At 42.0% G+C, this 25,151-nt stretch overlaps 1 protein-coding gene across 2 annotated transcripts in view, besides 1 other annotated feature; it reads left to right on the top strand.

The window, feature by feature from the left end:
• The window catches only part of ZFP14 (ZFP14 zinc finger protein), a 44,749-nt gene extending 20,332 nt beyond the window's left edge, over nt 1-24,417 (top strand). For both annotated transcript variants that reach the window (NM_020917.3, NM_001297619.2), the window contains exon 5: nt 17,280-24,417. In NM_020917.3, coding sequence (NP_065968.1) covers nt 17,280-18,646 — 1,367 coding nt within the window. In that variant the 3' untranslated portion in view covers nt 18,647-24,417. The remainder of the gene's footprint in view (nt 1-17,279) is intronic.
• Nucleotides 11,676-11,876: a silencer, noted in NCBI's record as "peak3460 fragment used in MPRA reporter construct". NCBI's record gives its function as "represses an SCP1 promoter by STARR-seq MPRAs in K562 erythroleukemia cells {active_cell/tissue: K562}" and the evidence as "EXISTENCE:reporter gene assay evidence [ECO:0000049][PMID:32103011]".
• Nucleotides 24,418-25,151: the final 734 nt, after the last annotated feature.

The raw sequence follows: 25,151 nt of genomic DNA, 5'->3' as shown, positions 1-25,151 counted from the left end.
AGGTTCATCCATTCATGAGAGCAGAGCCCTCATGACCCAGTCACCTCTTAAAAACCCCACCTCTCAATATTGCCATTAGGAATTAATTTTCAACATGAGTTTTGGAGGCAACAAACATTCAAACCATAGCAATCATCTTCATAGATGTAAAAATAGCATATGACAAAATCCAACATCCATTCATGATAAAAAGCTCTCAGCAAACTAGAAATTGAAGGGAACTTCCTCAATCTGGTAAGGGGCACCTATTTAAAAAATACATTATAAACTATAAAAATCCATTATCAAAAGAAAAAGAAATGAGACATAAAGATCAAAAAGGAAGACATAAGTCTGTATTTGGAGATGACATGATTGTGTACATAGAAAGTCCTAAGGAATCAAGACAACAACTATTCGAAGTAATAATTGAAAAATCACAATAAGGTCATGGGATATAAGGTTAATATTAAAAAATCAGGCCGGGTGCAGTGGCTCACACATATAATCCTAGCACTTTGGGAGGCCAAGGCAGGCAGATCAGTTGAGGTCAGGAGTTCGAGACCAGCCTGGCCAACATGGTGAAACCCCGTCTCTACTAAAAATACAAACATTAGCTGGATGTAGTGGCGCACGCCTGTAATCCCAGCTAGTCAGGAGGCTGAGGTGGGAGAATTGGTTGAACCCGGGAGGCGGAGTTTGCAGTGAGCCGAGATCACACCACTGCACTCCAGCTCAGACGATAGAGCAAGACTCCATCTCAAAAAATAAAATAGATAGATAGATAGATAGATAGATGATAGATAGATAGATAGATAGATAGATAGATAGATAGATAGATAGATCAGAGCCGGGCATGGTGGCTCATGCCTGGAATCCCTGTACTTTGGAAGGCCGAGGCAGGTGGATCACCTGAGGTCAGGAGTTCAAGACCAGCCTGGCCAACATGGTAAAACCCTATCTCTACTAAAAATACAAAAATTAGCCAGGCATGGTGGTGCAAGCCTGTAATCCCAGCTACTGGGGAGGGTGAGGCATGAGAATCTCTTGAACCTGGGAAGCGGAGGTTGCAGTGAGCCGAGATCACACCACTGCACTCCACCCTGGGTGACAGAGTGAGACTCTTATCTCAAAAAAAAAAACAAAAAACAAAAACTTCAGGATTTATTAAAACTACAGTGATCAAGACAGTATGTTATTGGCAAAGATTACCGAACAAAACACAACAGAGGTCCTAGAAACATACCCTGCCACACACGCACTAAAGGGTCATTTATTGTTTGACAAAGATGCCAAAGCATTCCAATGGGGAGAAGAAAGGCTTTTCAACAAATAGTACTGGAATAACTGGGGAAACAAATAAACAAACCTCTCAGCTTTTACCTCATACCAAAATTAATTTGAGATGGTTTTTAGACCTACATATAAAAGCTACAATCATAAAGTTTTTAGAGGGAAACAGGACAGTGATGAGTGTCCCAACTTATGACTTGGGAGTAGGCAAAGGTTTCTTGAGTGAAAACAATAACCATAAAAATAAAAAAATCAGACCGGGCGCAGTGGCTTACATCTGTAATCCTAGCACTTTGGGAGGCCAAGGCGGGCAGATCGCCTGATATTGGGAGTTTGAGACCAGCCTGGCCAACATGGCGAAACCTGATCTCTACTGAAAATACAAAAATTAGCTGGGCGTCTTGGCATGCGCCTGTAATCCCAGCTACTCAGGAGGCTGAGGCAGGACAATTGCTTGAACCCAGGAGGTGGAGGTTCCAGTGAGCCAAGATCACACCGCTGCACTCCAGCCTGGGTGACAGAGTGGGACTCTGTCTCAAAATAAATAAATAAAAAATTAAGACATTAGACTTTATCCAAATTGAAAACTTTGTCTCATCAGAATATACCAATAAGCAGATGAATGGGTGAGTCACAGACTGGGAGAGTAATAGTGGTAAAACATATCTGACAAGGGACCAGTATCTAGTATATACACAGCTCAGTGCTAAATGATAAGTAGCCCAATTAAAACTGATTGAAAGGCACACCAATACCATGAATAAACTGAGCAACAGTAAGCAATAAACTCTTGATACATGCAACAACTTGGGTGAATTTCAAGGAAATTATGCTGAGTGACAAAATCAATCACAAATGGTTATGCACTACATGACTTTATTTATGTAATATTTGCAAAATCACATAGAGATGGAAAAACAAATTAGTGGTTTCCAAGGGTAGGGATGTAGGGCGTAGAGGATGGTTCGGGTTAGAAAGGGGTAACATGAGGAAATCTTGCAGTCATGGTACAGGTGAGTATCTTGATTTTGGTGGTGGTTTTGCGAGGCTACCTGTGATAAAATTGCATAGAGCTATGCAAATAAACACACATGAGTGCACATAGAACTGGTGAAGTCTAAGTAAGCTCTATGGAATATACCAACATTAATTTCTTTCTTTTTTTTTTTTTTGAGACAGTCTCGCTCTGTCACCCACGCTGGAGTGCAGTGGCGGGATCTCGGCTCACTGCAACCTCTGCCTCCCAGGTTTATGCGATTCTCCTACCTCAGCCTCTCAAGTAGCTGAGATTATAGGCATGCGCCACCACCTAATTTTGTATTTTTAGTAGAGAGGGAGTTTTACCATGTTGGCCAGTCTGGTTTCGAACTCCTGACCTCAGGTGATCCATCCACCTCAGCCTCCCAAAGTGCTAGGATTAGAGGCATGAGCTACTGCGCCCAGCCCCATTAATTTCTTGTTTTGAATATTGTGCTATACTTACCTAAGATGTTAACACTGGGAGGGGCTGGGTGAAGTCTACACAGGACTTTTCTGTACATTTTGTGCAACTTCCCATGGATCTATAATTATTTTAAAATAAAAAAAATTTTAAGGATGCTGTTGAGGGGAATGGGGAAAAGATTTGACAAAGAGAGGGGCTACTCTTTTTTTTGATCGGTGACTACAGTTTCATCTCTATTTAAATCTGTATCATCTTAAGCTGCTGTAACAGAATACCATAGTCTGGGTGGCTTAAACACCAGATATGTATTTTCTCACAATTCTAGATGCTGGAAGTCCAAAATCAGGGTGCCAGGTTCTGGTGAAGTCTCTCTTCCTGGCTTGCAGGCAGCTGCCTTCTTGTTGTGTCCTCATATGACACAGAGAGAGAAAGAGGTCACTCTCTTCCTTTTTTTTTCTTCTTTTTTTTTTTGAGACAGGGCTTCACTGTGTTGCCCAGGCTGGAGTGCAATGGTGCCATCACAGCTCACTGCAGTCTTGAACTCCTGGGCCCAAGCAATCCTCCCGTCTCAGCCTCCTGAGTAGCTGGGTTTACTGGCACATGCCTCCACACTTAGCTATTTAAAAAAAAAAAAATTTATAGAGACAGAGATCTCCCTGTATTCCCTAGGCTGTTCTTGAACTCCTGGGCTCAAGTGATCCTCATACCTCTGCCTCCCAAGGTGCTGGGATTACAGGCGCGAGCCACTGCACCTGGCCCTCTTCTTCTTCTTACAAGGCCAGTAATTCTAGTGGATTAGGACCCCTCCTCTAGGCCTCCTTTAACCTTAATTACCTCCTAAAAGCCCCATCTCCACATACAGTTAGTTAGGGCTCAACATTCAAATTTTAGGGGAACAGAGTTCAGTCCATATTTAGGACCCAGTTTCTTTCTAGCTTCTATTATGATTAGGTTGATATGTCTTTCATTGGCTAGAAATATATTCCTTTATTTATTTGGCAAATACTTGAGTGCCTAGTTGGAACTAGGTGTTGTGCTGGACACCAGTGGAGCAGATGTGAATGAGAATCATGGGTCCCAGCAATCATGTTGCTTACATCTTAATAGGAGTAAGGACATGAAGTAAACAAGTACATCAATACATAATATTAGGTAGGGACAAGTATTAAGAAAAGTAAGAAGGGCCAGGCGCAGTGGCTTCGTGCCTGTAATCCCAGCACTTTGAGAGGCTGAGGTGGGAGGATCACTTGAGGCCAGGAGTTCGAGACCAGCCTGGCCAACATGGTGAAACCTGTCTCTACTGAAAATACGAAAATTAGCTGGGCGTGGTGGCACATGCCTGTAGTCCCAGCTACTCAGGAGGCTAAGGCAGAAGTATCGCTTGAACCTGGGAGGTGGAGGTTGCAGTGAGCCGAGATCGCGCTGCTGCATTCCAGCCTGGGTGAGAATGGAAGTTGGCAAGTAGAGATAGGGATGTTTTAAATAGGGTGGTCAGGACATTTTGAGGAGGTGATACTTGAATAGTGACATGAAAAAAGAGCCCAGGCCATATGAATATCTAAAGCAACGGCATTCCTGGCAGAGAACAGCAAATACAAAGGCTTTGGGTGGGCTGAGGGGAGCTTTGTATTTTTGAGGAACTGCAAGAAGCCCAAGATGATTAAGATGCTTATTCAAAAGGTAAGTGAAAGGTGTAGAAACAAGATAATGTTAGGCAAGAGCGAGATCATGTAATGGTTTGTATATCATAGGAGAAGGCATTTGACTTTTTTTTTTTTTTTTTGAGATGGAATCTCTCTCTGTCGCCCAGCCTGGAGTGCAGTTGCACCATCTCAGCTCACTGCAATCTCCACCTCCCAGGTTCAGGCGATACTCCTGTCTCAGCCTCCTAAGTAGCTGGGATTACAGGTGCCCACCACCGTGCTTGGCTAATTTTTGTATTTTTAGTAGAGACAAGGTTTCACCATGTTGGCCAGGCTGGTCTTGAACTCCTGACCTTGTAATCTACCTGCCTCGGCCTCCCAAAGTGTTGGGATTACAGATATGAGCCACTGTGCCCGGCTTTTTTTTTTTTTTTTTGAGACAGGGTCTTGTTCTGTTGCCCAGGCTGGAGTGCAGTGGTGTGATCATGACTCACTGCAGCCTTGAACTCCTGGGTTCAAGTGATCGTCCCACCTCAGCCTCCCAAGTAGCTGGGACTACAGGCGCATGCCACCACCGCTGGAAAATTTTTGTATTTTTTGTAGAGACGGGAGTTTTGCTATGTTGCCCAGGCTGGTCTTGAACTCCTAGGCTCAAGCGATCCTCCCACCTCAGTCTCCCAAAGTGCTGGGATTACAGGTGTGAGCCACTGCACTCAGCTGCATCTGACTTTTTTTTATTTTAAGTGTAGTAGAAAGCTGCTGGAGATTTTTGAGCAGGGGAGTAACATGAGCTGATTTTTTTTTTTTTTTTTTGAGATGGAGTCTCACTCTGTCACCCAGACTGGAGTGTAGTGGCGCAATCTCGGCTCACTGCAACCTCCGCCTCCTGGTTCAAGCGATTGTCCTGCCTCAGCCTCCCGAGTAGCTGGGATTACAGGCACACGCTACCACGCTCAGCTAATTTTTGTATTTTTAGTAGACATGGGGTTTCAGTGTGTTGGTCAGGCTGGTCTCGAACGCCTGACCTTGTGATCTGCCTGCCTCGGCCTCCCAAAGTGCTGGAATTACAGGCGTGAGCCACCACACCCGGCCTACATGAGCTGATTTTTAAATAATTACCACTCTACAGAGAATAGATTGAATAAGGGCATGATGGATAGTTTGAAGACCCACTAGGAGGCTATTTCATTTGTCCACATTGAAGATGATAGTGGTTTTGCTGAGAATGGTACTAGTGGAAGGCTGAGAGAAAATGTTAGATTCCTGATAGGTTTGCCTGGTACATGCTGGGCTGCTCTTCTCTGAATACTTCCCTTACTGTGCTTGTACTGCAACAGCCTGCACTAGGCTGCCTCCAGTAATGGAAACAGCATCCCATCCCCAGTGTGGGTAAGGAAGATCTTTTTTTTTTCTTCGAGATAGGGTCTTGCTCTGTTGCCTCAGGCTGGAGGGCAGTGACATGAACATGGCTCAACTTCCTGGGCTCAAGTGATCCTCCCACCTCAGCCTCCTGAGTAGTTGGGACTACAGGTGCGCACCACCACACATGGCTAATTTTTTTTTTTTTTTTGAGACAGAGTCTCGCTCTGTCGCCCGGGCTGGAGTGCAGTGGCGCGATCTCGGCTCACTGCAAGCTCCGCCTCCCGGGTTCACGCCATTCTTCTGCCTCAGCCTCCCAAGTAGCTGGGACTACAGGCGCCTGCCACCACGCCCGGCTAATTTTTTATATTTTTAGTAGAGACGGGGTTTCACCGTGTTAGCCATGATGGTCTCGATCTCCTGGCCTTGTGATCCGCCCGCCTCGGCCTCCCAAAGTGTTGGGATTACAGGTGTGAGCCACCGCGCCCAGCCCACATGGCTAATTTTTAAGCATTTTTTGTAGAGACAGTGTCTCACTGTGTTGCCAGGTTGCTCTAAAACTCCTGGCCTCAAGGGATTCTCCCACCTTGGCCTCCCGAAGTGCTGGTATTACAGGTGTGAGCCACTGTGCCCAGTCATTTTTGTCTATTAATTGATGTATTTTATGCATCTACATTTCATTAATTTTCTTACATATTTGGGTTTAAATCTGCTGTCTTCCCAGTGTTTTTCTGTTTGCTTAATATGTTCTTACTTTTTTCATTCTCCTGCCTTTTTTGGATTAATCAAGCATTTTTATTCTAGTTTTTCCTTTTATAACATGATCATTATACATACATTTATTTTTCTTCTTGTGGTTGCCTTAGACAATAACAAGTACATTATTTACTTATTGCATTGAATCTGAAATTAGCTTCTTTATATCTTGTTCAAAATTGTAGGGATCTTAATAGAATTTTTTTTTTTTTGAGACAGAGTCTGGCTCCGTTGCCCAGAATGGAGTGCAGTGGCACGATCTCGGCTCGCTGCAAGCTCTGCCTCCCGAGTTCACGCCGTTCTCCTGCCTCAGCCTCCCGAGTAGCTGGGACTACAGGCGCTCACCACCACGCCCCGCTAATTTTTTTGTATTTTTAGTAGAGACGGGGTTTCACCATGTTAGCCAGGATGGTCTCGATATCCTGACCTTGTGATCCACCCGCCTCGGCCTCCCAAAGTGCTGGGATTACAGGCGTGAGCCACCACACCCGGCCGGATCTTAATAGAATCTTTAAAAAATGTATTCATTTATTTTTAGAGACAAGGTCTCACTGCATCACCCAGGCTGGAGTGCAGTGGTGTGATCATAGCTCACTGCAACCTCAAACTCCTGGGCTCAAGCAATTCTCCTACTTCAGCCTCTTGGGTAGGTAGGACTACGGGTACACACCACCATGCCCGGCTAATTTGTTTTATTTTAGAGATGGGGGTCTCACTGTGTTGGCCAGGCTGGTCTCAAACTCTTGGTCTCAGATGATCCTCCTGTCTCAGCCTCCCAAAGTACTGTGATTACAGGCGTAAGCCACTGTACGCAACCCTTAATAGTATTTTAATTCCTTTTATGTGTCCTCAGTTTTTTGTGCATTTGTTGTCATATGCCTTTTTTTTTCTTTTTGTGATATGCAGTCTTGCTCTGTTGCCTAGGCTGGAGTGCAGTGGTGGGATCCTGGCTCACTGCAACCTCTGCCTCCTGGGTTCAAGCAATTCTCCCACCTCGGCCTCTAGAGTAGCTGGGACTACAGGCATGCACCACCATGCCGGCTAATTTTTGTAGTTTTTAGTAGAGACGGGGTTTCGCCATGTTGGCCAGGCTGGTCTTGAACTCCTGATCCCAGGTGATCCGCCCACCTCAGCCTCCCAAAGTGCTGGGATTACAGGCCTGAGCCACTGTACCCAGCTCTGTTGTCATGTATCTTAATTCCACATTTTAATCCCCACAGGGCATTAATTTCTTATTGTAATAAGTAGTGAATTTTTTTTACATTTGCCCACACATTTACCTTTTACAGTGCTCCTTATTATTTTCTGCATTGCATTGCTTTTATCTGGAACCATTTTCTGTGTACCCAAAGAACTTACTTAGTATTTATTTTATTGTGTCCACTGGCAATAAATTATCTTAGGTTTTATTAGAAAATATCTTTATTACGTCTTAATTTTTAAAGGGTACAAAATTTTGTCTTTATTTTTGTGGAGAATAGAATTCTGAGTTGGCAGTTATTTTCTCTTAGCAAATATCCCCTCCTTGTCTTCTGGCTTTCATTATTTCCATTGAGTAGTAGTTTGTCACTTATATTGTAACTCCTTCAGAGATATTGTTTTAGAGGTATTTTTTCCCGTTAGCTGCTTTTGGATTTTTTTTTAACAGATTACTGTGGTGTGCCTAATTTTATATTGCAGTGAAATGTAAAAATCCCAATTATATTGTGGTGTAGTTTTGTAGTGTGGTGGATATTGTGTTGTCATCTGCTTGAAGTATTTAGGAAGCTGTTTTTTGTTTTTTTTTGGTTTTTTAAAGACAGGATCTTGCTTGGATGCCCAGGTTGGAGTGCAGTGGCATGATTTCAGCTCACGGCAGCCTCACCCTCCTGGGCTCAAGTGATCCTCCCACCTCAGCCTCCCAAGTAGCTTGGACCACAGGTGCACACCACCACACCCAGTGAACTTTTGTATTTTTTTAGAGATGGGGGTCTCCCTATGTTGCCCAGGATGGTCTTGAACTCCTAGCCTCAAGTAGTTTTCCCTCCTTGGCTTCCCAAATTGTTGAGATTACAGGCCTGAGTCACTAGGCTCAGCTAGGAATTTTTTTAAATCTTGGGTTTGATGTCTTTTGTCAGTTTGGGAAAATTCTGGTTACTATATCTTCAGATAGTGTTTGTTTCTCATTTTTGTTCTTTTCTCTGTGTGAGTTACACATATGTTAGACACTTTAACATTGTCCCATGTATCTTTTATGTTCTTTTCTGTTTTTTTTTTTTGTTTGTTTTGTTTTTTTGAGACAGAGTGTGGCTCTGTTTTCCAGGCTGGGGTGCAGTGGCACAATCTCAGCTCACTGCAGACTCCACTTCCCGGGCTCAAGCACCACCACACCCAGCTACTTTTTTGTGTGTGTATTTTTAGTAGAGACAGGGTTTCACCATGCTGGCCATGCTGGTCTCAAACTTGTGGAGTTTGAGTTCAAAGCAGTCTGCCCGCCTTGGCCTCCTAAAGTGTTGGGATTACAGGTGTGAGCCACCACGCCCAGCCTATCTATTGTTCTTTTTTATTCCTTTCAACCTTGAAATCTTCTTCAAATCCATGTCTCTATTCACTAGTCTTCTCTTGTGCTAAGTCTAAGCTGTTGTTAAAGCTGTCCATTAGATTTTTCATTTTCATTTTAATATTTATAGATAATATACATAGTATATATTATATATATATTATATATATATATATTTTTTTTTTGTTTTGAGACAGAGTCTTGCTCTGCGACCCAGGCTGGAGTGCAGTGGTGCCATCTTGGCTCACTGTGGCCTCTGCCTCCTGAGGTTCAAGTGATACTCCTGCCTCAGCCTCCTAAGTAGCTGGGATTATAGGTGCACACCACCACGCCTGGCTAATTTTTTGTATGTTTAGTAGAGATGGGGTTTTGCCATGTTGCCCAGGCTGGGCTCAAACTCCTGAGCTCAGGTGATCTACCCACCTCAGCCTCCCAGAGTGCTGGGATTACAGGCGTGAGCCACTGTGCCCAGCCTGTAAATTCACATTTTCAAAGGGCGTTAAGGGAATTATTAATTAAACTGGTATATTATTCTGATAAAATACAAATATTTTTTAGTTCTAGAGGAGAAATTATGTTCTTCCTGTTTTTTTTTTTTTGTTTTTTTTTTTTTGTTTTTTTTTTTGAGACAGAGTTCCCCTCTTATAGCCCAGGCTGGAATGCAATGGCATAATCTCGGCTCACTGAAACCTCCGCCTCTCCTGGGTTCAAGTGATTCTCCTGCCTCAGCTTCCCAAGTAGCTGGAATTACAGGCATGTGGCACTACACCCGGCTAATTTTTTGTATTTTTAGTAGAGATGGGGTTTCACCACGTTGGCCAGGCTGGTCTCGAACTCCTGACCTCAGGCGATCTGCCCACCTCGGCCTCCCAAAGTGCTGGGATTACAGGTGTGAGCCACTGTGCCCAGCCCTCCTCTTCTTGTTGAATAGAATTTTCCACTGAGATACAGAGTCAGAGCATTGATAAAAAAAATACAAGCCAGCTTAAGTTCCACCTCTGGTTTCTGGGATCTCTTGGGGAGGAACCCATTGGTGTTATTTCCTCTGAGAGCTGCTTCTTCCAAAGCAGGTATAGCACTTCCTACAGGAGGTCCCAGAAGGTTGCAGCACAGGCGGGGTCAAATCCTGACTCTGGAGTTCAAGACCAGCCTGGCTAAACATGATGAAACCGTCTCTACCAAAAATACAAAAATTAGCAGGGCATGGTGGTGCATACCTGTAATCCCAGCTACTTGGGAGGCTGAGGCAGGAGAATCGCTTGAATCCAGGAGGCGGAGGTTGCAGTGAGCCAAGATTGTGCCACTGCACTCCAGCCTGGGTGACAGAGTGAGACTTCATCTCCAAACAAACAAACAAAATCCTGACTTCCCTGACTGTCCTGGTAAGACATCCTCCAGAACCTCTATATCAAGGAGTCAGCTGGTGTTACCCTGATACACAGGTGCTGGGCATTCTGATCTCATGAAGGCCAACTTAGCCTAAAGGGGTCAGCTTCCCAGGTTTATCAGTGATAGCTATATATTTGTATATTTGTGGCTTGAACACCTCAAACAGAAGTATCGACCCAAGTACCTACCCAATCCTTTTAAAATGTACTTAAAAGCCAGTTACACAATTTCATTTAAAATGAAATGTCAATCCTTAATTCAAATCCCTGTAGTATTATTACATGGCACCCAATTACTTATTTTTCTGTTCTGTAGGCTTTGCCTATTCTATGTGACTATCTGGTGACCAAAGAAAGCCATTAGAAATTGACTTTTCTAAGGGAATATGTGTGGGCAAAGAGAAAGAAGACTTTTTTTTTTCTCACTCTGTTGCCCAGGCTGGAGTGCAGTGGCATGATATTGGCTCACCTCAACCTCCACCTCCCGGGTTCAAGAGGTTCTCCTGCCTCAGCCTCCCGAGTAGCTAGGGTTACAGGCACGTGCCACCACACCCAGCTAATTTTTGTGTTTTTAGTATGACAGTTTCACCATGTTGGCCAGGCTGGTCTCAAACTCCCGACCTCAGGTGATCTGCCTGCCTTGGCCTCCCAAAGAGCTGGATTGACAGGCGTGAGCCACTGCGCACAGCCTGATTTCATTTTTATACTCAAAGATAACTTGGAGTATTAGGCTTTATAAAATGTTCTGGGCCACTTTAAATATAATTGAGTGCTTTCTCAAGTTTTGATAATCTTCAAAATAATTTTTGGAGTGGGTCTTTGATTACTTTTTCTTTTTCTTTCTTTTCTTTGTTTTTTTTGAGATGGAGCCTCACTCTGTCACCCAGGCTATAGTGCAGTGGCGTGATCTCGGCTCATTGCAACCTCTGCCTCCTGGGTTCAAGTCATTTCCTGCCCCAGCCTCCCGAGTAACTGGGACTATAGGCGCCTTCCAGCACACCTGGCTAATTTTTGTAGTTTTTGTAGAGATGAGGTTTCACCATATTGGCCAGGCTGGTCTCGAACTCCTGACCTCAAGCAATCCACCCTCCTCGGCCTCCCAAAGTGCTGGGATTACAGACGTGAGCCATTGCGCCCAGCCTTGAATACTTTTTCTATACTTTGTTAGTAATTAGCCTTGGTTGTCATAGTAGTCCCTTATAATTTTCAAAATATTCTGTTTTGTTAGTTATTTACATGTGTCAAGAACTATATTATTTCTACAACTTCACCCTACTTGCAAGCTGACAAGTTAGCTTGCCGTAGTGTCATGGATGCTGGCAGGAAACACATGCTCTCAGTCAAAGACAAAGGATTTGATTGCTCTCAGCACAGCCAGCAGTTCCTCCTTGCCTGCAAGTCACATGAGGCTGATAAGGATGGGTCTAGATAGTTCCTGAGCATGCAGTGAGCTGCCTTATAGAAAAGGAACACTGAGCTTGAAGAACCCAAATCATTCATCGTGGGCAATAAGTGTACGTAGCCTTAGCTTGGAAGGAGACATTACCTTTATTATCCTGAACAAGCAAGCGAACCTGCCTATTGATCCAGACAGAGACGTTATCTCTACCTTGCAAGGCTGTTTGTTATAGTATAGAAACATTCTTGAAAAGATATCCCAGAACAAAGGTAGGTAGTGCTTCTGCCAACAAGATGTACAAAAAATGTGAGAGCGGCTGGGCGCAGTGGCTTACGCCTGTAATCCCAGCACTTTGGGAGGCTGAGGCAGGTGGATCACGAGGTCAATAGATCAAGACCATCCTGGCCAACATGGTGAAACCCCGTTTCCACTAAAAATACAAAAAATTAGCTGGGCATGGTAGAAACACCTGTAGTCCCACCTACTCAGGAGGCTGAGGCAGGAGGATCACTTGAACCCGGGAGGCAGAGGTTGCAGTGAGCTGAGACTGCGCCACACTACACTCCAGCCTGGCGACAGAGCAAGACTCTGTCTCAAAAAAAAAAAGTGAGAGCTCTATGGGGAGTTGTCACTGAATAGCTAGTGGCCATTTTTTATTTTGTTTGAATGCTTTCCTTTTTCTCTTATTATCTTAGCTAATGGTTATGTTCCACTGATTTTGTTTTTGTTTTTTGTTTTTTTGTTTTGTTTTTGTTTTTGTTTTCCAAACAACCTGGGTTTTTTGTTTGTTTTGAGACAGGTTGTCGCTCTGTCACCCAGGCAGTGGCATAATCATGGCTCATTGCAATGCCCGCCTCCCGGGCTCAGACGATCCTCTTTCCCTCAGTCTTTCGAGTAGCTGGGACTATAAGCAAGCACCACCATGCCTGGCTAATTTTTTGTAGAGATAGGGTTTTGCCATGTTGCCCAGACTGGTCTTGAACTCCTGGGCTCAAGCAATCCTCCAGCCTCAGCCTCCCAAAGTGCTGGGTTTACAGGCATGAGTCATCGTGCCTGGCCAACCTGGATTTTTTATATGTCTTTCATTTCTGTTATCTAATTAATGAAATTCTGCTTTCATTTTAATCTATTTCTTCATTCTTTGTTCCTCAGTATACTTTGTTGTTCTTTTTCTAACTTTTGTGTGGGATACTCATATATTTTCCTTCATTTCTATTGCTCTAAGAATTTAAATGTATCTATAAAATTTCTTCTGAGATCTGTAGCTATATTTCATAGGTTCTCTATAATGTATTTTTCAATATTACTGTTCTATATTTAGGAAAGAGTTTTAAAATCTGAAGTGAAGATGTCTTTTGGTTTCATGATTTTGTTTTTTCCTATTTTGTCTTGCAGTGATCACAAACTATTCTTTGGGTCATTTCACCAGTTTTACACATTTATACTGTAGTCACAGAAAAAAATTCTCCTCCTTTCCTATACCATCTCAACCCATGTCTTTGCTTACTTCATTCAGCATTTTCGATTTTCTTCATGAAAGTACGCCATCTGGATCATGATCTTCAAGCCCACATCCAACATAGCCTTTATTTTTACTCTGTTGCATTCAGGTGACCCCAGATGCCCTTCCATTTTTGATAGTCATTCTGCTGTACTTGACATTTACCATGACCTTTTGCTCAGGATTTCATAAGCCTTTCAATGTTAGCATGATTGAAAAAAAATACTTTAGTTGCGTTGGCTACATGGGAATGGATAGGACCACACATGGGGAGGATATGAAGGAACAAAAGTTTTGTTTTGTTTGAGATGGAGTTTCACTCTTGTTGCTCACGCTGGAGTGCAATGGCACAATCTTGGCTCACCCCAACCTCCGCCTCCCAGATTCAAGCAATTTTCCTGCCTCAGCCTCCCGAGTAGCTAAGATTACAGGCATTTGCCAAAACGCTCAGCTAATTTTGTATTTTTAGTAGAGATGGGGTTTCTCTCCAAGTGGGTCAGGCTGTTCTCGAACTCCCGACCTCAGGTGATCTGCCCCCTCGGCCTCCCAAAGTGCTGGGATTATAGGTGTGAACCACAGTGCCCGGCCAACAAAAGTTTGAGTAAGTGTAGCATTGATAAGTCATAGTATAAATTCTAGCAGAGATAAGTAAATCATTATAATATGGTATAAAGTAGCAGTCCCTACCTTTTTGACACCAGGGACCAGTTTTGTGGAAGACAATGTTTCCATGGACTGGGGCGGGAGAAAATGGTACGTGGTTTTGGGATGAAACTGTTCCACCTCAGATAATCAGGCAGTAGATTCTCATAAGGAGTGTGCAACCTAGATCCCTCGCATACACAGTTCACAATAAGGTTCACGCTCCTATGAGAATCTAGTCACCGCTGATCTGACAGGAGGCCGAGCTCAGGCGGTCATGCTCGCTCACCTGCTGCTCACCTTCTGCTGTGCAGCCCGGTTCCCAACAGACCATGGACTGGTCTGTGGCCTGGGGGTTGGGGACCTCTGGTATAAAGATTAGAGGCAGATATACCTATTAATTAATGATTATATAATTATGAGAATTAAACTGGTAATATCTATTATGTATTTGGGATTTGCTAATTAATGGTGATAATAGAGATTGTTTCTGCCCTGGGGGTAGTTCAAGGATAACACTTAACTAACAGACTAACTAAACTAACAGAATAATATGAGAAAATTAATAAACATATGATTCAAAAATTGGAGAAAGTGTTATAAATATGAAAAAGAATGTGCATGGCCAGGTGCAGTGTCTCACACTGTAATCTCAGCACTTTGGGAGGCCGAGGCGGGCAGATCATCTGAGGTCAGGAGTTCGAGACCAGCCTGGCCAACATGGTGAAACCCCGTCTCTACTAAAAATACAGAAAAATTAGCCGAGCCTGGTGGTGGGTGCCTGTAATCCCAGCTACTGGGGAGGTTGAGGCAGGAGAATTACTTGAACCCAGGAGGCAGAGGTTGCAGTGAGCTGAGATTGTGCCACTGCACTCCAGCCTGGGCAACAAGAAACTCCATCTCAAAAAAACAAAGAAAAGAGAAAGAGTGTGCTAAGAGAGTGTGGTTTGAATGTTTGTCTCCTCCAAAACTCATGTTGAAACTTAATCCCCAATGGGTGGGATCTATGAGGGGTGAATGGGTCACAAGGGCTTTCATGGCTTAATGGATTAATGAGTTATTATGGGAGTGGGACACATGGCTTCGTAAGAAGCAAAAGAGACACCTGAGCTAGCACACTCAGCCCCCATTACCCATTGATGGTCTGTGCGCTGCCTTGGGACTCTGCAGGGTTGTCACCAGCAAGAAGGCTCTCACCAGATGCAGTCCCTCAACTTTGGAGTTCTCAGCCCCCATAATTGTTAAGAAATAAACTCCTTAATCCGTCAGAGTAGAGTAGAAATAATAATAATACATTCCTTTTCTTTATAAATTATCCATTTTCAGATACTTCATTATAAGCAACAGAAAATGGAGTAAGACAAGCGTAAAGTGCATAGACTTAAATAGGGCCAGCAGGACTAGCCTTTGTGAAGAAGTGATTTTGATTTGAGGCTGAGAATGAAAACCAGCCAACCATGCAGTGTCAGAGGATTCCTCAAAGAAGGAGCAGCCTGTGAAGAGTCCTATTTATTTGGAACAGTTGTGGGGCATTTTGTGCGTTGAAAGAGGCCAGTATGCTATGAACAGAGAGAACAAATGGGAGAAGATATTTGTTGACAAGCAGCAGCTTTATTATTTATGCTCAGGTATTTATATTTTATTATAATGGTAAAGAGATAGCATTGAAAACATTTAAACAGAGAGACTCAAATATTGATCAGCATCCCAATAATTTCTTGAAGAATATAAACAAGAACAAAACAATTACTTGCCCAGGACTTTGTCCTATAGATGGTTTCAGTCAGTTAAAAACACCTCTGCATAGTTTAAACAAATCTCTAGGTGATTCTTATCCACACTTAAAACAGGGCTTCACTGATTTGACTTGCTTTCCTAATCACCAGCCCTGCCTGCACTCCTGGACTCTTTATTTGCTGTGTTTCCCTTTTTCAAAATGATGAGAGTGCAATCTGTCCCATGGTACACATTAGCAGAATAGTGGCAAAAGAATTGTGTATAATGTAGATGATTGGCTTATGAGTAATTTTTCTAGTCCAGTGGAGCTAGCTTAGTGGAGGTATATTTATAATGTTCAGTAGGAAAGACAAAGGCCTTCTACATGATGCTTTATTATCAGGAGCCCTTTCACCCGTTTTAAGAAAATTAATAATAAATGTCTGCACCCAGGTCTCCCTCCCCAGAGGAATATACCATCAACCTTGCATGGCCTCTTATCTAAAGACAGGCTGCACTTTACCTTACTCCCACCTTAATGATGTCCTCACTGGCTCTGGGCTTTATTTTCATGTACAGTGTCTCAGGACCTGAAGTCTAGCATTGTCTCTTTATTTTTGTGCATTTTAATACACATGAAGTGCTGAGGTGTCTTTTGGTTTATCCCTTTAGATGTCAACTATTTTATTTGTTAGTGTTCTACTGATTAAAGATGCATAGAATTGGCTGGGCATGGTGGCTCACACCTGTAATCCCAGCACTTTGGAAGGCTGAGGCGGGCGGATCACCTGAGGTCAGGAGTTCGAGACCAGTCTGGCCAACATGGTGAAACCCTGTCTCTACTAAAAATACACACAAAAATATTAGCCGGGCTTGGGGGTGTGTGCCTGTAATCCCAGCTACTAGGAGGGCTGAGGCAGGAGAATTGCTTGAACCCAGGAGGCAGAGGTTGCAGTGAGCCGAGATTGTGCCACTGCACTCCAGCCTGGGTGACAGAGCAAGACTGTGTCTCAAAAAAAAAAAAAAAAAAAAAAAGGCATAGAATGAAGTGGTCCTCGCCGGGCGCAGTGGCTCACTCCTGTAATCCCAGCACTTTGGGAGGCCGAGGTGGGTGGATCACGAGGTCAGGAGATCGATACCATCCTGGCTAACACGGTGAAACCCCGTCCCTACTAAAAAATACAAAAAAAAATTAGCCGGGCGTGGTGGCAGGTGCCGGTAGTCCCAGCTACTTGGGAGGCTGAGGCAGGAGAATGGCGTGAACCCGGGAGGCGGAGCTTTCAGTGAGCCGGGATCGCACTACTGCACTCCAGCCTGGGCAACAGAGCGAGACTCCATCTCCAAAGAAAAAAAAAAAATTAAGTGGTCCTGCTCCGGGCCTATTTTTCTTCTGAACACAGTAATTTTTAGTGTGTACTTTTGTAGAAGATAAGGTTTTTTAGGTACACATATATAAGATTGTGGCAGAAATGTCTATGTTTGAGATCTGTCTAATCCATTCAATTTGTAACAGGCATTATTTTAGGTGCCTTTTCTCTATAGAAGTGGTTTTTTTGTTTGTTTGTTTTTTCTTTCTGGAACAGGAAAACAGTATGTATTTGCTTTCTTGTTTTCTTTCAGATTTGGAGTCCAGATACAGGACCAATACTTTATCTCCAGAAAAGGACATTTATGAAATATATTCATTTCAGTGGGATATAATGGAAAGAATTAAAAGCTATAGCCTTCAGGGTTCCATTTTTAGGAATGATTGGGAATGCAAAAGCAAGATTGAGGGGGAAAAGGAACAACAAGAGGGATATTTTGGGCAAGTGAAAATTACCTCTGAAAAAATGACCACTTACAAAAGGCACAATTTTCTTACTGAGTATCAGATCGTTCATAATGGAGAAAAGGTGTATGAGTGTAAGGAGTGTAGGAAGACCTTTATTCGTCGCTCAACACTTAGTCAACACCTGAGAATTCATACTGGTGAGAAACCTTATAAGTGTAAGGAATGTGGGCAGGCCTTTAGACAGCGTGCACATCTTATTCGACATCACAAACTTCACACCGGTGAGAAACCCTATGAATGTAAGGAGTGTGGGAAGGCCTTTACAGTGCTCCAAGAACTTACTCAACATCAGAGACTTCATACGGGTGAAAAACCCTATGAATGTAAGGAATGTGGAAAGGCCTTTAGAGTACATCAGCAACTGGCTCGACATCAGAGAATTCACACTGGTGAGAAACCCTATGAATGTAAGGACTGTGGAAAGACCTTTAGACAGTGTACACACCTTACACGCCATCAGAGACTTCATACTGCTGAAAAGCTCTATGAATGTAAGGAATGTGGGAAAGCCTTCGTATGTGGTCCAGACCTTAGAGTACATCAGAAAATTCATTTTGGTGAGAAACCCTATGAATGTAAGGAGTGTGGAAAGGCTTTTAGAATATGCCAACAACTTACTGTTCATCAGAGTATTCATACTGGTGAGAAACCCTACGAATGTAAGGAATGTGGGAAGACTTTTAGATTAAGACAACAACTAGTTCGCCATCAGAGAATACATACTCGTGAGAAACCCTATGAATGTATGGAATGTTGGAAGACCTTTAGTAGTTACTCACAGCTTATTTCACACCAGAGCATTCATATTGGTGAGAGACCCTATGAATGTGAAGAGTGTGGAAAGGCCTTTAGACTGCTCTCACAACTTACTCAGCATCAAAGTATTCACACTGGTGAGAAACCTTATGAATGTAAGGAATGTAGAAAACCTTTTAGACTGCTCTCACAACTTACCCAACATCAGAGTATTCACACTGGTGAGAAACCTTATGAATGTAAGGAATGTGGTAAGGCTTTTAGACTTTATTCATTTCTTACTCAACACCAGAGAATTCATACTGGTGAGAAGCCCTACAAGTGTAAGGAGTGTAAGAAGGCCTTTAGACAGCATTCACACCTTACTCAGCATCAGAAGATTCATAATGGAATTTAATAGAAGAAAGCCTTCAAATGTATATGATGTTACAGAACATCAGAAAATTCATTTTTGAGAAAATGTGTTTCATGCTCAATTCCAAGCATAATAAATTTTATATTAGAGAAAGAATATGTTGATTTAAAAGCCTTCCAACACCATTTAAACATGGTTTATCTTCAGCAAATTCCTATGAGAGAATAATGTAATGAATGTAGGAAAATCTTTAGCCTTATCTGTCATTATCTCCCTTTCTCCACTTGATTACCAGTTTGATTTATTGGACAAGATACTAAGCTTCTGTGCCTCATTTTGCTGACTTGTAAAATGGTAATAATAGTACTTATATGTATTAGTTATTTATTGCTGCGTAATAAATTACCACAGACTTAGTAGCATAAAATAACATATAATTATATCTTATAATTTGGATCAGGAGTATAGGCATGACTTAGTTGGGTCCTCTGCTTCAGGGTCTCTTGCAAGGCTACAGATTTCAGCCAGGGCTGAGGTCTCATCTGAAGGCTCAACTGGGGAAGGATCCACATCCAGACTAACATAGTTGTTACCCAATGTATTTCCGTGAGGCCTGTTGCATTGAGATTCTCAGTTTCTAGCTGGCTGTTGGCTGAACGCTGACTGCAGCTCCTGGCCACAATAGCCTCATCAACATGGCTGCTTGCTTCATCAAGGCATGCAAGCCAAAAGGGAGGACAGTCTGCTAGCAAGATGGAAGTTACCATCTTGTGTAATCTAATCATGGAAGTAACATTCCCTCACCTTCTACTGGTAGAAGTAAGTTACTAGGATAGTCCACACTCAAGAGAACGGGATGATACAAGAGTGTGAATAAGTCCTGGAGACAGGACCACTGGGGGGCCTGTTTAGAGTCAGCCTGCCACACTGTGGAATAGGATTGTTGCAAGGAGTAAGTAGTTAATACTTGGAGGAATCACAGTCATATAGCATGTATTCTGTAAATATTATCTGTAATTGTTATTATTGTCATTAGTATTAGTGAATTCACGTAAAAGGAAGATCTGTAGACATAATAAATGTAGAAATGCCTCCTGTCACCTCTCAGAAATTATTAAACATAATTTATTCTAGGTAAAATTTAGATTGTAGTGAATGTAGGAAGTTCTTCAGCACTTGAGCTGCATTAGAAATTTCATGCCAAAAATGAATTTCATGAATGTGAGGTCACTAGTAATACAGCTGTTGAAGAATTAGAGGGAAATAGGAAATGATTTTCCCATAATTCCAGAAAGCAAAAGGCTTACAATCCCTGTTGTCTGACCACAGTTTAAAATTAATTAGAAACTATCAAAAATGTGGCTTAAAAGAAATTAACCACCTAGGAATTTAATATTGTTGTGTATATTTATGTGTGTGTATAAAACTCCTGTGGGAAAGAAACAAAACATCATTCTATAAGTCAGTATACTTTTGGATGCTCAAAATGCCATATCTTCAACCAGTAGGAGTTGTTTCAAGTTGAGTTTTTGATGTGATCCCACCAATAATTTGATAGTTTACTTGATTGTGGCTGCATAATTTGGTAACCTATGAAAGATGCTAGAGCACCAATGTATAATTTTTTTGAGACAGGGTGTCACTTTGTCCCCCAGGCTGGAGTGCAGTGGTACAAGCACAGTTCACTGTACCCTGTTCCTCCTGGGCTCAAGTGATTCTTCCACCTAAATTTTTTTTTTTTTTTTAGAGAAAGGGTCTCACTATGTTGCCCAGGCTGGTCTTGAACTTCTGGGCTCAAGTGATCCTCCCTCCTTGGCCTCCAAAGGTGCTGGGGTTACAGGTATGAGCCACCACACCCAGCCCAACTCATTATTCTTGAAATCAATAAATCAGAGGAAAAATTGTCATTTAGTTTCCTTTTCCCATGTGAACCAAATTTCAGGGTCACCAGAAGTTCATCAAATTCAAATGAATTTGGCCTGGCACAGGGGTCACACCTGTAATCCCAGCACTTTGGGAGGACAAGGTGGGTGGATCACTTGAGGCCAGGAGTTTGAGACCAACCTGGTTAACATGGTGAAACCCTGTCTGTACTAAAAATACAAAATTTAGCCAGGCATGGTGGCACACACCTGTAGTCCCAGGCTGAGGTGGGAGGATCACTTGAACCCAAGAGGCAGAGTTTGCAGTGAGCTGAGATCGTGCCACTGCACTCCAGCCTGGGTGACAGAGTGAGACCCTGTCTCAAAAAAAAAATTTGTTTTTTGAATGGGTTTTTCTTTTTTGAAGAAGTCTAATAAATCTAGAAGGAATTAGAGGATTAGAAAAATCACCATTTTCTAGACCTTAATGGAATAATGGGTCCAGAAAACATGATCTTCAATGGGTACTACAACTAATAGGTGAAATATTTTATAGCGAGATTTTTATGGTGGATCTATCAAACTGGCCACCTCTGAACCCTTTGATCTGTTTTAACCTTAATAAAAATGGGTCTATCAGACAACACACTTCCTGACGTAATGCAATAGGAAGTCCACACCACCATCTACAAAGCCTTATTGCTGGAATAATGAACTGAAAGCAGACAGGGACTAGATGAACAGTATATGGTCATCCCTTGGTATCCATGGGGAATTGGTTCCAGGATCCTCCACTGATGGTAAAATCTGAGGATGCTCAAGTCCCTTGTATAAAATGGCATAGTATGTATTTGCATATTACCTACTCACATCTTCCTGTATACTTTAAATTATCTTTAGATCACTTATACCTATCACAATGTAAATACTATGTAAATAGTTGTTATACTGTATTTTTCAATTTGCATTATTTTTATTGTATTTTATTTTTATTGTTTTTTTTTGAGTATTTTCTATTTGAGATTGGTTGAATCTGCACATATGGAGGGCTGGCTATAAAGGGCACCACAAGGAAGAAGCCAAACAGATCCAGAATGTGTGAAATTCTACAGAGCAAATTACCTGATTTCTTCAACTAACAGGTAGCATGAAAATACAAGGGGAAGGGCAACCATTAACAGATTAAAAGAGACTTAAAGAGACATATCAACTAAATTCAGTATGTTGGCATTACTTGGACCTGGTTTGAACAAAACATAAAAAGCCATTTTGGAGACAGTGAGGGAAGTGTGGACATGGACTAAATATTAAATGATATTTACATATATTAATTTGGTTAGGGATTATGTCAGTGTGATTATAAAAAATAAAAGATCGTATGATATGAGATACATACTATGAAATGAAGATAGACACATTTGGATTAAAATATTCTAGCAAAAGAAATAATTGGCAAAGAGAGCTGGAAACTAAATTGGCAACATGTTGATAATTTAAGTGGAGTGTTTTGTTCATGGAGACTTATTGTTCTAATATTTCTACTTTTGTATGTGTTTGAAATTTCAATAATAAAATGTTTAAAATCAAAACCAAAATTATAGACTATGTAGAAATGAATGACAGTGAGATGCCTGCACATCTAACCTTGTCAGATATAATCAAAGTTCTGTTCAGTGACAAATTAATGCCCTGTAATGTGGTAAGGAAATCTTATTTGTGGATACAGTCTTCATCTTCTTCACTTACCCACAGCAGCAACACCAGGCCTGTCACACAGATGAATGTGTTGAGGGAATGAATAAGTATTTCCGTCAAGAAAAAGGAAACAACAAAATAAAACCAACCCAAGTAAAGAACAGCCAAGTGGCCAGGTGCGGTGGCTCATGCCTGTAATCCCAGCACTTTGGGAGGCCATGGCAGGTGGATCACCTGAGGTCGGGATTTTGAGACCAGCCTGACCAACACTGAGAAACCCCATCTCTATTAAAGATACAAAATTAGCCAGGCATGGTGGTGCATGCCTGTAATCCCAGCTACTTGGGAGGCTAAGGCAGGAGAATCACTTGAATCCAGGAGGCGGAGTTTGTGGTGAGTTGAGATCGCGCCACTGCACTCCAGCCTGGGTAACAGAGCAAGAGTCTGTCAAAAAAAAAAAAAAAAAAAAAGGAACAGCCAAGTAACAGTAGAAAGTAGAAATTAAGAGAATGGAGAATATTAGACTTGATTCAATGTTAATAGTGATTAGATTTTGGCAGTTATAATCAAGGAAGAGAAAATGAAAGATAATACATTTAGAGTATTAATGATGATAAAAGAGACACAACTCTAGATTATATCAAGCAGATTTTTAAAATTATAAGGCAAAACTAGGCCGGGCACAGTGGCTCACACCTGTAACCCCAGCACTTTGGGAGGCCGAGGTGGGTGGATCACTTGAAGTCAGGAGTTCGAGACCAGCCTGACCAACATAGCAAAACCCCATCTCTACTAAAAATACAAAAATTAGCCTGTCATGGTGGCGGGCACCTGTAATCTAAGCTACTGGGGAGCCTGAGGCAGGAGAATTGCTTGAACCCAGGAGGCAGAGGTTGCGGTGAACCAAGATCACGCCACTGCACTCCAGCCTGGGTGACAGAGTGAGAACCTGTCTCAAAAATAATAAACATAATATGGTAAAACTATACATGCACACATGCACAAACGTGTATATTCATTCCAGTACAAGTAAAAATGTAGGATTGCATTTTTCCCCCAAAAGGAATATGTTTTACAATTAACTCACCGTATAACCCAAATAGATTAACAAAAAATGTGTGTGTGTGTGTGTGTGTGTGAACTCCCTGTTTAAAAAATCTGATACTTATAAAAACTTTAAGGAATAGATAATCCTAAAGATTTTACCAATTAATTCTGCAAGGTAAAATAATCCTAATAAAAATTAGATGAAGATAGTTTCTGAAAGCAAATTCTAGACCACCTTCATTATGAAGATTCTATTTTTCACAATTCTAAATAAAGTTTATTTAGAATTTATTACAAAATCTATCTTTGCTAATAGGTCAGTGTTTCTTTTCCCAAGCACCAAATACCTCCAGAAAGCCTGTGTTTGACCCCTAAATTCAACATTCTCCAGAAGTTTGCTTCAAGGAATATTAATTCTCGATGGTATTTGAAAAAAAGATTTCTTGGGAAAATAGGCAAATGAAGCAAAACATAAAACATCTACTTTTGGCCAGGCACGGTGGCTCACGCCTGTAATCCCAACATTTTGGGAGGCCAAGGCGAGCAGATCACTTGAGGTCAGGAGTTTGAGACCAGCCTGGCCAACATGGTGAAACCCTGTCTCTACTAAAAATACAAAATTAGCTGGGCGTGGTGGCTTGCACCTGTAATCCCAGCTACTTGGGAGGCTGAGGCAGGAGAATTGCTTGAACCCAGGAAATGGAGATTGCAGTGAGCTGAGATTTTGCCATTGCACTCCAACCTGGGCAACAAGAGTGAAACTCAGTCTCAAATAAAATAAAATAAAAATCTACTTTTGAGGAATTCAAAGTATACATGATCAGTTTGCCAAAGATTTAGTAAAGACATTTTTATTTAACTGAGTGTATCTCAAATTTATTGTGGAATTCTCAGTCCGAATATCTGGAATAGGAACAGCTTTGTTAGATGCTACCATAACCACAATGAATGTCTTCAAGGGTGTAATTTTAGATATGGTGAGTGGTTGTGTTGGGGGCGGCATAAGTCAGGGCAATTTTTTGCAGCTCATATCATGCTCTGAAAGTAGCTACCTGCTTTAATGGATGGTTAGTGCTTTTCTATAGAATGGAAAAGATTCCAGCCCGATCCTTGATATGTTTGTGTTAAACATGCTTATATATTATATTAAACAATGATTAAGGACATAAATGAGTTTCTGTGGTAATAAAGATGCTATATTGAATATCATTTTGTGTATTTTTTAATTTCCTTAAAGAGTCAAGAATCTAAGGTATTACCTAGAAATGAAATTGTTCGTTATAGGCTGTATACACTTTCAGCTTCACTGCTTATTGCCAAATTGTGGCTCCACCATTGTTCCAGTTTTGAATCCCTTTGATCATTGAATATCAGTGTTCATATTTCCCTACCTCTGCTATAAGTTTCAATATTTATTACACTGGGCCAGGCACGGTGGCTCACACCTATAATCCCAGCACTTTGGAAGGCCAAGGCAGGAGGATTGCTTGAGCCCAGAAGTACGAGACCAGGCTGGGCAACATGGCAAAACTCCATTTCTACAGAAAATACAAAAATTGGTTGGGTGCGGTGGCATGTGCCTGTGGTCTCAGCTACTTGGGAGGCGGAGGTGGACGGATCACTTGAGTCTGGGAAGTCAAGGCTGCAGTAAGCTGTGATCATGCCACTGCACTCCAGCCTGAGTGTTGGAGTGAGACCCGGTTTCAAAAAAAAAAAAAATTATTACCTTGATTACAAGTGAGTCAAGCATCTGTTCATATGCGTTTATTGGCCAATCGTGTTTACTGTGCTTTTTAATGATGCCTTTGCTGTATTTTTTTTTGCATTCTCATTTATTGATTTTTCAGGATTCTTAAAATAGTTTAGTATCGGTCGGGTGCGGTGGCTCACGCCTGTAATCCCAGCACTTTGAGAGGCCAAGGCAGGTGGATCACCTGAGGTCA

The sequence above is a fragment of the Homo sapiens genome, chromosome 19 (genome assembly GCF_000001405.40).
Source record: "Homo sapiens chromosome 19, GRCh38.p14 Primary Assembly".
NCBI lineage: Eukaryota > Metazoa > Chordata > Mammalia > Primates > Hominidae > Homo > Homo sapiens.
Note: the sequence above shows the minus strand (reverse complement) of the source record. Positions and strands in the feature narration are given on the sequence as shown.